Below are 12,841 nucleotides of genomic sequence, written 5' to 3'. Positions count from 1 at the left end.
CAGTTTGAATACTTTTTAATTTCCACTTTGATTTCGTTTTTGCTCCTGATCATTGGATTGTTCAGGAGCAGGTTATTTAATTTCCATGTATTTGCGTGGGTTGGAAGGTTCCTTTTGGAGTTGACTTCCAGTTTTATTCCACTGTGGTGTGAGAGAGTGCTCGATGTAATTTCAGTTTTCTTAAATATATTGAGGATCATTTTGTGACCTATGATATGGTCTAATTGAAGAAAGTTCCATGTGCTGTTGAATAGAATGTGAATTCTGCCGTTGTTGGATGGAATGTTCTGTATATATCTGTTAGGTCCATTTGTTCCAAGGTATAGTTTAAATCTATTTTTTTGTTGTTGAATTTCTGTCTTGATTACCTGTCTAGTGCTGTCAGTGGAATATTGATGTCACTCACTGTTATTGTGTTGTTGTCTATTTCATTTGTTAGGTCTACTAGTAATTGTTTTATTAATCTGGAAACTCCAGTGTTAGGTCCATATATGTTTAGGATTGTGATATTTTCCTGTTGGACAAGGCCTTTTACCATTATATAATGTCCCTCTTTGTCTCTCTTAACTGCTATTGCTTTAAAATTTGTTTTGTTTGGTATAAGAATAGCTACTCCTGCTTGCTTTTGGTGTCCATTTGCATGGAGTGCCTTTTTCCAACCCTTTACTTTAAGTTTATGTGAGTCCTTATGTGTTAGGTGAGTCTCTTGAAGGCAGCAGATGGTTGGTTGGTGAATTCTTACGCATTCTGCAGTTCTGTATCTTTTAAGTGGAGCATTTAGGCCATATGCATTCAACGTTTGTATTGAGATGTGAGGTACCATTCCATTAATCGTGCTATTTGTTGCCTGTGTACCTTGGTTTTTTGTTTTTTGTTTTTTAAATTGTATTTTTGTTTTGTAGGTCCTGTGGGATTTATACTTTAAAGAGGTGTTGTGGGAAGTCAGGGACCCTGAACGGAGGGACCGGTTGAAGCCATGGCAGAAGAACATAAATTGTGAAGATTTCATGGACATTTATTAGTTCCCCAAATTTTTTAATACTTTTACAATTTCTTACACCTGTCTTTACTGCAATCTCTGAGCATAAATTGTGAAGATTTCATGGACTCTTATCACTTCCCCAATCAATACCCTTGTGGTTTCCTATGCCTGTCTTTACTTTAATCTCTTAATCCCATCATCTTTGTAAGCTGAGGATGAATGTTGCCTTAGGACCCTGTGATGATTGCATTAACTACACAAATTGTTTAAACAATATGAAATCTGGGCACCTTGAAAAAAGGATAACAGCGATGTTCAGGGAACAAGGGAGATAACCTTAAAGTCTGGCTGCCTGCGGGCTGGGTGGAACAGAGCCATATTTCTCTTCTTTCAAAAGCAAATAGGAGAAATATTGCTGAATTCTTTTTCTCAGCAAGGAACATCCCTGAGAAAGAGAATGTGTCCCTAAGGGGAGGCCTCTGAAATGGCCGCTTTGGGGACATCTGTCTTTTACAGTTGTAGATAAGGGATGAAATAAACCCCGGTCTCCTGTAGCACTCCCAGGCTTATTAGGATGAGGAAATTCCTGCCTAATAAATTTTGGTCAGAGCGGTTGTCTGCTCTCAAACCCTGTCTCCTGATAAGATGTTATCAATGACAATGTGTGTCCAAAACTTCATTAGCAATTTTAATTTTGCCCCGGTCCTGTGATCTCACCCTGCCTTCATTTGCCTTGTGATATTTTATTACCTTGTGAAGCATGTGATCTCTGTGACCCACACCCTATTCATACATTCCCTCCCCTTTTAAAAATCACTAATAAAAACTTGCTGGTTTTGCAGCTTGGGGGGCATCATGGAACCTGCTGACATGTGATGTCTTTCCTGGACATCCAGCTTTAAAATTTCTCTCTTTTGTACTCTTTCCCTTTATTTCTCAGACCAGCCGACACTTAGGGAAAATAGAAAAGAACCTATGTGAAATATTGGGGGTGAATTTCCCCCCAATAAAGAGGTTCTGTTCTTATGTATTTCCAGGATTTGTTTCAAGACATATAGCTCCTTTTAGCAGTTGTTGTAGTGGTGGCTTGGTAGTGGCGAATTCTCTTCAGTTTTTGTCTGTCTGGAAAAGTCTGTATCTTTCCATATGTGGCACATATACACCATGGAATACTATGCAGCCATAAAAAGGGATGAGTTCATGTCCTTTGCAGGGACATGGATGAAGTTGGAAACCATCATTCTCAGCAAAATACCACAAGGACAGAAAACCAAACACCACATGTTCTCACTCATAAGTGGGAGTTGAACAATGAGAACACATGGACACAGGGAGAGGAACATCACACACTGGGGCCTGTTGGGGAGTGGGGGGCTGGGGGAGGGACAGCTCTCAAGATTCTTCCCTTCCTCTTAACTTTAAACAACCTTGTGACAACGTGCCTAGGTGATGATTTTTTTTGTGATGAATTTCCCAGGCTTCTGTGTGCTTCTTGTATTTGGATGTCTAGGTTTCTAGCTAGGCCAGGGAAGTTTTCCTCAATTTTTTCCCTGAATACGTTTTTCAAGCTTTTAGATTTCTCTTCCTCAAGAACCCTGATTATTGTTACTTTTGGTTGTTCAACATAATCCAATACTTCCTGGAGGCTTTGTTCATATTTTCTTATTCTTTTTTCTTTGTCTTTGTTGGATTGGGTTAATTTGAAGACCTGTCTTTGAGCTCTGAATTTCTTCTACTAGTTCAATTCTATTGCTGAGACTTTCCAGAGCATTTTGGATTTCTATAAGTGTGTCTAAAGTTGCCTGAAGTCTTGATTTTTTTTTCATTATGCTATCAATTTCATTGAATTTTGTCCCTTCACTTCTTGTATCATGTTTTGGGTTTCCTTGCATTGGGCTTGGCCTTTCTCTGGTGCCTCCTTGATTAGCTTAATAAGTAACCTCCTGAATTCTTTTTCAGGCAAATCAGGGTTTTTTTTCTTGGTTTGGATTTATTGCTGGTGAGCTAGTGTGATTTTTTGGGGTTGTGAAAGAGCCTTGTTTTGTCATATTACCGGAGATGGTTTTCTGGTTCCATCTCATTTGGGTAGGCTCTGTCAGATGGAAGGTTTAGGCCTGAAGGCTATTGTTCAGATTCTTCTGTCCCATGGGGTGTTTCCTTGAGGTAGTACTTTCTCCCTTTTCCTACGATGTTCCTTCCTGGGAGCTGAGCTGTAGTGATTATTATCTCTCTGCTGGGTCTAGCCACCAGCAAGTCTACTAGGCTCTGGCCTGGTACTGGGGTTTTCTGCACAGAGTCCTGTGATGTGAACTGTCTATGGGTCTCTTAGCCGTGGATACCAGCACCTGTTCCAGTGGATGTGGCAGGAGAGTGAAGTGGACTCTGTGAGGGTTCTTAGCTTTGGTGGTTTAATGCTCTATTTTTGTGCTGTTTGGCCTCCTGCCAGGAGGTGGCGCTTTACAGGGAGCATCAGCTGTGGTAGTATGGAGAGAAACTGGTGGTAGACGGGGCCCTAGAACCTCCAAGAGTATATACCCTTTGTCTTCAGCTACTGGGGTGGGTAGGGAAGGACCATCAGGTGGTGGCAGGGCTAGGCTGTCTGAGCTCAGACTTTCCTTGGGCAGGTCTTGCTGTGGCTCCTGTGGGGGATGGGGTGAGCTCCCCAGGTCAATGGAATTATTTACCTGGGAGGATTATGGCTGCCTCTGCTGAGTCATGCAGGTTGTCAAGGAAGTGGGGGAAAGCTGGCAATCACAGGCCTCACCCAGCTCCCATGCAATCCAAAGGGCCGGTCTCACTCCCACAGTGCCCCACTGACAGCAATGAGTCTGTTTCCAGGCTGTAAGCAAGCAGGGCTGAGAACCTGCCCTAGGCTACCCACCTCCCAGCTGGAAAAGAAAGTAGGGCTTTAGTTCTTCCCCCGCCTGTGGAGTCTGCACGCTGGGATTCCCACCCTTCCTCGAGTTCTGGCCAGGAGGCTTTTCAGCCAGTTCAAATTGTTACTAAGTTCAGCTGGAGATTTTCTTCTCCCTGTGGCATTTTCCCTGTGCCTCTGGCTGCCCTCCTGAAGGATCCCTGTGGTGTCAGGCAGGAATGGCCTGCTTGGGAAGCTCACAGGTACTTTGCTGCTGCTTCCTCTACCCCTGTATTTCACTCGGCTCTCTAAATTGACTTGGCTCCAGTTAAGGTTGGAATCTTCTGCAAACTAGGCCTTGAGTTTCTCCAGTAGGAGTGTGTGTTTGGTTAAGGAGGATTTCCCTTTCCCACTTCCACAGTTTGGTCACAGTATTTGGGGTGCCTCCTGGGTCCTGCGTGAGCAATCCACTTCCTTAAGAGGATCTGTGGATCCTATCGGGTTTTCTGATTTATTCCTGTGGTCGTTTTGGAGTTAAAATTCACAATACGGACCTCCTCACGCTGCTGTATTCATCCGTGTCACAGCTGCAATCTTGTCCTGCCTCCCATCTGCCATGATGGAATGCAATCTCTTTATTTACTATTATTATTATTATTTTCAATTTTTTATTTTAAGTTCAGAGGTACATGTGCAGGATGTGCAGGTTTGTTACAGAGGTAAATGTGCACCATAATAGTTGGCTGCACAGATCATCCCATCACCTAGATATTAAGCCCAGTATCCATTAGCTATTGCTCTCCCTCCTCCCTACCCCCACCCTCTGACATGCCCCAGTATGTATTGTTCCACCCATGTGTCCATGTGATCTCATCATTCAGCTAACACTTATTAGTGAGAACATGTGGTGTTCGGTTTCCTGTTCCTGTATTAGTTTGCTGAGAATGATGGATTCTAACTCCATCAATGTCCCTGCAAAAGATATGATTTTGTTCCTTTTTATGGTTGCATAGTATTCCATGGTGTATATGTACCACATTTTCTTTATCCAGTCTATCATTGATGAACATTTAGGTTGATTCCATGTCTTTGCTATTGTGAATAGTGCTGCAATGAACATATGTGTGCAGGTGTTTTTATAATAGAATGATTTATATTCCTTTGGGTATATACCCAGTAATGGGATTGCTGGGTCAAATGGTATTTCTGTCACTAGGCCTTTGAAAAATCACCACACTGTCTTCCACAATGGTCAAACTAATTTACACTTCCACCAACAGGGCAAAAGCATTCCTTTTTTCTCCACAATCTAACCAGCATCTGTTGTCTTTTGGTTTTTTATTAATAGCCATTCTGACTGGCGTGAAATAGCATCTCATTGTGGTTTTGATTTGTGTTTCTCTAATGATCAGCGATGGTGAGCTTTTTTTCATATATTTGTTGGCCGCATGAATGTCTTCTTTTGAGAAGTGTCTGTTCATGTCCTTTGCCCGCTTTTTAATTTCTTTTTTTGTAAATTTAAGTTCCTTGTAGATTCTGGATATTAGGTCTTTGTCAGATGGATAGATTGCAAAAATTTTCTCCCATTCTGTAGGTTGTCTGTTTACTCTGTTGATAGTTGCTTTTGCTGTGCAGAAGCTCTTTAGTTTAATCAGATTGCATTTGTCAATTGTTGCTTTTTTTGCAATTGCGTTTGGCCTTTTTCTCATGAAATCTTTGCCCATGCCTATGTCCTGAATGGTATTCCTTAGATTTTCTCCTAGGAAGAAAATCTTATTACATAAACAACTAATACATGTCAACTAAAAATAATAGGAAAGGATTATGAATAAATATAAAGTGTATGGGAGGATGTGTGTAGATTATATGCAAATACTATAACATTTTATTTAATAGACTTGAGCATCCTTGGATTTTGTTCTCTGTGAGGATACTGAAACCAATCCCTCGCAGATATCATGGGACAACTGTATAGATGTGCAAGGGAAGGCTGAGTGAAGGATATACCAGACTTCTCTAAACTACCTCTGGCAAATGCATGTGAATCTGCAATTACCTCAAAATAAAAGGTTTATTATTTATAAAAGATATTTATCTTTCTGTGCTTGATTTAATGTAATGTCCTCCAGGCTTATCTGTGTTGCTGTGAATGACAGCATTTCCTTCTTTTTTATGGTTGAATGTATTCCATTGTGTATATATACCAAGTTTTCTTCACGCATTCATCTGTTGATGGGCACTTAGATTGATTCCATATCTTGGCTATTGGGAATACTGCTGTAATAAACGTGGAAGTGTAGAAAATTGATATACTGATTTCTTTTCTTTTGGATAAATACTCAGTAGTGAGATTGCTGGATCGTATGGTAGTTCTATTTCTAATTGTTTTTTAGAAACCCCCAAACTGTTTTTCATAATGGCTGTATTAATTTACATTCCTACCCACAGTGTATAAGAATTCCCCTTTTCTGCAGTCTCACCAATATTTGTAATTTTTTGTCGTTTTGACAATAGCCATTCTAATTGGGGTGGGATGATGTTGCATTGTGGTTTTCATTTATATTTCTCTGATGATTAGGGATGTGAGTGTTTTTCATATACTTGTGGCCATTTGTATGTCTTCTTTTGAGAAACGTCTATTCAGATCATTTGCTCATCTTTTAATTGGATGATTTGTATTATTATAGCTGTTGAGTTATTGGGTTCTTTATATATTCTGTATATTAGTCCCTCGTCGGATGAATAGTTTGTAAATATTTTCTCCCATTTTACAGACTGTCTCTTTTCTTTACTCTGTTGGTTGTTTTCTTTGCTATGTGGAAATTTTTAGTTTGATATGCTTCCATTTGTATATTTTTGCTTTCATTTGCCTGTGATTTTGAAGTCCAGGCTTTTGTACCTTTTCCTCAATCAGTATGATGTTAGCTGTGGGTTTATCACATATGGCCATTTCTGTGTGTTTAGTTATGCCCCTTCTATACCAAGTTTGGTGATGGTTTTTATCATAAAGAAATGTTGAATTTTATCAAATATTTTTTATGTGCCTATTGAAATGATCATATACTTTTGCCCTTCTTTCTGTTGATGCAATGCATAACATTTATTGATTTATGTATGTTGAACAATCCTTGCATTCCTGAGATAAATCCCACTTGACCATGCTGTGCTCGTATGCGTGTATGTATGTATTTATTTTTGTGATGGAGTCTTGCTCTGTTGCCCAGGCTGGAGTGCAGTGGCATGATCTCGGCTCACTGCAACCTTTGCCTCGCCGGTTCAAGCGATTCTCCTGCCTCAGCCTCCTGAGTAGCTGGGATTACAGGCACGCACCCCCATACCTGGCTAGTTTTTGTACTTTTAGCAGAGATGGGGTTTCACCATGTTGTATGCTTGAACTCCTGACCTCGTGATCCTCCTGCCTCGGCCTCCCAAAATGCTAGTATTACAGGCATGAGCCATCGCGCCTGGCCTGTGTTATCTTTTTGATGTGCTGTTGGATTTGGCTTGCTAATATATATATATATTAATGTTGGTTTATATATATATATGTATATATATATATGTTGGTTTTTTTTTGAAATGGAGTCTCACTCTGTCACCCAGGCAGTGCAGTGGTGCAATCTCGGCTTACTGCAAGCTCTGCCTCCCGGGTTCACACCATTCTCCTGCCTCAGCCTCCCGAGTAGCTGGGACTACAGGCGCCCGACACCACGCCTGGAAAATTTTTTGTATTTTTAGTAGAGACGTGGTTTCACTGTGTTAGCTAGGATGGTCTGGATCTCCTGACCTCGTGATCTGCCTGCCTCAGCCTCCCAAAGTGCTGGGATTACAGGCATGAGCCACTGCACCAAGCCTAGGTTTGCTAGTATTTTTTGAGGATTTTTATATCTGTGTTAAGGAATATTGGCCTGTAGTTTTCTTTTTGTATTCTTGTCTGGTTTTGATATCAGGGTAATTCTGGTCTCATAGAATGAGTTAAGGAGAAATCTCTCCTTTTCAATTTTTTTTTTTTTTTTGGAATACTTTGAGGAGGACGGGTGCTGGTTCTTCTTGAAAAGTTTGATAGAATTCAGCAGTGAATCTATCTGGTCCTGGGCTTTTATTTGTTGGGAGACTTTATTACTGATTTGATATAATTGTTATTGTCTGTTCAAGTTTTAAACATGTCTTTCTGGCTCAATCTTGGTAGGTTATATGAGTTCAGGAATTTATCCATTTCTTCTAGGTTTTCCAGTTTATTGGAGTAGAGTTGTTCATAGTAGTCCCCTTGTATTTCTGTTGTTCAGCTGTAATGTCTTCTTTTTAGTTTCTGATTTTCTTTATTTGGGTCTTCTTTCAATTTTTCTTAGCTAGTCTAGCTAATGGCTTGTTGATTTTGTTTATATTTTCAAAAACAACTCAATTTTGTTGATATCTAAAATATCAACAAATATTTAAATATTTGTTGTCTCAGATATCGTAAATTTTTTTTGTCTCTATTTCATTGAGTTCTTATCTGATCTTTGACTCTTTCTTTCTTTCTACTAATTTTGGGCTTGGTTTGTTCCTGATATTCTAGTTATTTGAGGCACATGAGTTGTTTATTGAAGTCTTCCTCCTTTTTTGATGTAGGTGTTTATTGCTGTAAACTTCTTTCTTAGTACCATTTTTGCTGCATCCCATAGATTTTGGTATGTTGTGTTTCATTTTTCATTTGTTTCAATAATTTTTTGAATTTCTTTCCTAATTCTTTATTGATCCTTTGGTCATTAAAGAGCATGTTGTTTAATTTCCTTGTATTTACAAAAGTTCCCAAGTTGCTCTTGGTATTGATATTGTTCTATTCCACTGTGGTCTGAGAAGATACTTAATATGATTTTGATTTTTAAAATTTTGTTAAGACTTGTTTTGTGGCCTAACATATGATCTATCCTGGAGAAGGTTCCACATGTGTTGATAAAAAGAATGCATTCTGCAGCTGTTGAATGAAATGTTCTGTAAATGTCTGTTAGGTCCATTTTATCTATAGTACCATTTAAATTCAATGCTTCTTTGTTAATTTGCTTTCTAAATGATCTGTCCAGTGCTGAGAGAGGAATGTTGAAGTCCTCAACTGTTACTTACTTGGGTCTATCCCTGTCTTTAGCACTAGTAATATTTGGTTTATATATCTTGTTGCTCCTGTGTTGTGTGAATATATTTATAATTGTTATATTTTCTTGCTGAATTAATCCCATTATCATTATATTATGCTCTTATTTGTCTTTTTAAATTTTTTTTCTTAAAGGCTACTTTGTCTGATAGAAATGTAGCTACTCCTGTTCATTTTTGGTTTCCATTTGTGTGGAATATCTTTTTCTATCCCTTCATTTTAATTCTATGTGTGTCTTTACAGGTGAAGTGAGGTTTTTGTAGGCAGCATATAGTTGTTTGTTGGTTTTTTAAAAAGTTCATTTAGCCAGTTTGTATCTTTTAACTGGGAAATTTAAATAATATACATTTAAGGTTGTTATTAATAGATGAGGACTTACTCCTTTTATTTGTTAATTGTTTTCTGGTTGTTTTGTATATCCCTCTTTCTTTATTCCTCTTTTGTTTCTCGTTGTGGTTTGGTGGTTTTTTGTAGCAATAAGTTTTGATTCCTAACTCTTTTTTCATTTGTGTTTCTGTTTTACCAATGAGTTTTATACTTTTGTGGGTTTTTGTGATGGCAGATATCATTTGTTCATTTCTTGATATAGCACTCCTTTTAGCATCTCTTGTAGGGCCAGCCTAGTGATGAATTCCTGCAGTTCTTGCCCGTCTGGAAGAACTCTTTCTTTATGTGTCTTTCATTTCCGAAGGATAGTGTTGCTGTGTATAGTAATTTTGGCTGACAGTGATTTTTTTTCAGCACTTTGAATATATCATTTTATTCTATTCTAGCCTGTAAGGTTTTACTTAGTACTTTGCTGTTTGTCTGATGGGGATTTCCTTATATGTGACTAGACACTTCTGCTGTTTTTAGAATTCTCTTTTTGTCTTTGACTTTTGACAGTTTGACTATAATGTGTCTGAGAAAAGACTTTTTTGGGTTGAATCTGTTTGGTGATTTTTAAGCTTTTTGTACCTCAATGTCCTTAACTCTTCCAAGATTTAAGTTTTTAGCTATTATTTCACCAAGTAGGTTTTCTATGCCTTTTCCCATATCTTGTCCTTCTGAAATTCCCATCATAAATAAGTTTTTGTGTGATGGTGTTTCATAGGTCATGTAGGCTTTCTTCATTTTAAAATTCTTTTTATTTATTTATTTATTTTTTAAATATCTGACTGAGTTATTTTAAAAGACCTGGCTAGGTGTGATGGGTTATGCCTGTAATCTCAGCACTTTGGGAGGCCAAGGCAGGTGGATTGCCTAAGCTCAGGAGTTTAAGACCAGCTTGGGCAACATGGCAAAATCCCATCTCTACAAAAAATACAAAAATTATCCAGGCATGGTGGCATGCACCTGTAGTCCCAGCTACTTGGGAGGCTGAGGTGGGAGAATGGCTTGATCGTGGGAGGTGGAGGTTGCAGTGAGCTGAGATTGTGCCATTGCACTCCAGTCTGGGCAACAGAGCGAGACCATGTCTCAAAAACAAAGACAAACAAAAGTCCTGTCTTCAAGTTTAGATATTATTTCTTCTGCTTGATCTAGTCTGTTGTTAAGCAGTTAAGTGTATTATTAATTTAACTAATTTAATTTTTCAGTTCCAAGATTATGTTTGATTCTTTTTTGTATCTATCTCTGTTAAATTTCTTGTTCAGATCATAAATTGTTTTTCTGATTTCATTGAATCATCTGTCTGTGTTCTCTTGTATCTTGGTGAGTTCCTTAAGAGCATTGTTTTGAAGTTCTTTTCAGGCATTTAATCAATTTTTGTTTCTTTGGTTTCTGTTATTAAAGAATTATTGTGTTCCTTTGGAAGTGGCATGTTTCCTTGCTTTTTCATGTTTCTTGTATACCTATCTTAATATGTGCACATCTGTTGGAACGGTTGCTTCTTCCAATTTTATGAAGTAGCTTTTGTAGGGAAAGTCTTTTTCTTATACATGTGTTCTACAGTGTTAGTTGGCTAGGGTGTTTTGGCTTTGGTTCTGGGTGGGTGCATTAGGGTAGTCTCTGTATATTTTCTTTAGTTGTAATCAGTGTCCTCGGTGTTTGTGAGTTCCTTGATGGCCTGGACTGAGGTTGTTTGTGGAGGCTGTGGTGCAGATTTGCTGGGGATAGGGATGCTAGGTGTGCTGAGTCTTGGGCCCCTGGGTGGCATGTGCAGCAGCCTTACTGTTGGAAGATGTGGAGTCACCAGCATGAGTGGTGATGGGCCTCTGGCAGGGTGGTCTTCAGGCCCCTTAGCATTATGTGGGGGCATGGTTGCTGGTGGGGTGGACAGTGCCTCAGGTATACTTTAAATCAATCTAGATTACTTAAAATACCTAATAAAATAAGAATACTATGTAAATAGTTGTTATTATTACTGTTTTTATTTATATTATTTTAATTGTTATATTGTTTTTTAATTTTTAAAATATTTTCCATCTGTATTTGGTTGAATCTGCAGATGCATAACCTGAAGAAATGGAGGGCTAACTGTAGTATAATGTCACAACTAAGATTATGTTTTGTAGCTTGAATATATTTTTATTAAAGAATCTCTATATTATGAACTATGTGTTAATTTATTTAATTAGTCAGAGGTATTGGAGTGCATATAGGCTTGATTCAGAAATAAGTTTGAATCTGAGATCAACTTTCAAGTTGAAAAAGTCACTTGTTTCCTGTTTCGTATGATTAGTGTCATAAAAGAACCAATGAAGTATTGCGTGTAAAACCTGTTGTATGTTAGAAAGATCTATAATTTCTATCAAATAGAAATTATTTGCTATTATTGGTATAGCTTATTGTATACAGTGTTTCACAGGGTATTTGGGGGCACATAGATATTACTTTTTTGCCCATTATTTTAACAGAGAAAAATAAAATTCTTGACATAGTTTTTTTCAAAGCCATGTGGTTATTATCTATTACCTATGACAAAGAATTACTTTGTTACTAAGGTCTTAATTACTATTAATTGAGATCATTATTTTATATTTTCTTGAACTGCCCACTTCTCCTCTTTTTAGATGAATAAGATATTTTTCTCTTTAAGTAATTATGTAATTATCCTCACTTACACAGTAGTCTTAGGTTAGATATTTGGCAATTGATTTAGATATTTACCATCTTGAATAGTGTCCTTTATGTGAAGACCATATGATAAATATCTTTCATTTTTCTATCAATGTTTATACTATTTTTAGGTAATTGGTTTGTTTTTACCAAATGAATACTGAATTTTATAATAGAGCATGTTTTTCCCTTTCAATTGCCTGTTAGATGGTTCAGAAATACACATGTAACCCATATTTAGAATTTTGTGAGGAAATGCAACTTCTTGACATGCATTTTGTTTTGTACTAACCTTATTCCTGAAGCCAATGTACTTTTCTACCCACATTTTCTCTTTATATTCATTTCTTCCTTTCTTGCTTTATCTTACATTTTTAAAACCTCCTTAAATTCTTTATAGGGTAGGGTCTAAATAAATAAATGATTTCAGAGTCTTAACTTCAGCACATAAAAATGTGCAGACTATTCCCTGTAACTGTGGGTATACATTAGGTACCGTCTGTGCACCAAGAATTTAGTAGTTGTTCAAACATGCTGTCCTCAGAGAGTTTATAATTCATGTCTAGAATTAAATTGATGGCCTAAACATTCTCCCAAAGTAAAGACATGTTTTAAACAGAAGTTATAAATATGATCACTAATTAGTTTCCAAATATGTTGGTAATAACATTTTGAAAGGTAAATAATTATGTTAAAGTGTTATAATGTAATTTCACAATCTGAGGGCCTTAGCCTGTGGTAGCAAATATAAAAGTTAAAGGTATAAAACAAGCACATTTTTGTCGATTTTATATGTTTGTACAATTAAGTTTGCCACTCACTGTTCCCATAGCAA

At 37.6% G+C, this 12,841-nt stretch overlaps 1 long non-coding RNA gene across 1 annotated transcript in view, besides 1 other annotated feature; it reads left to right on the top strand.

The window, feature by feature from the left end:
• Positions 1 to 12,841, top strand: part of LINC00639 (long intergenic non-protein coding RNA 639) — a 167,544-nt gene that overhangs the window by 104,177 nt on the left and 50,526 nt on the right. The window lies entirely within an intron of this gene.
• Positions 2,969 to 4,168: an enhancer, noted in NCBI's record as "CDK7 strongly-dependent group 2 enhancer chr14:39277742-39278941 (GRCh37/hg19 assembly coordinates)". NCBI's record gives its function as "activates an origin of replication core promoter dependent on BRD2, BRD4, P300/CBP, MED14 and CDK7 cofactors, with strong dependence on CDK7, by STARR-seq in HCT116 cells {active_cell/tissue: HCT116}" and the evidence as "EXISTENCE:reporter gene assay evidence [ECO:0000049][PMID:35650434]".

The sequence above is a fragment of the Homo sapiens genome, chromosome 14 (genome assembly GCF_000001405.40).
Source record: "Homo sapiens chromosome 14, GRCh38.p14 Primary Assembly".
In the NCBI taxonomy this organism is placed as follows: domain Eukaryota; kingdom Metazoa; phylum Chordata; class Mammalia; order Primates; family Hominidae; genus Homo; species Homo sapiens.
Note: the sequence above shows the minus strand (reverse complement) of the source record. Positions and strands in the feature narration are given on the sequence as shown.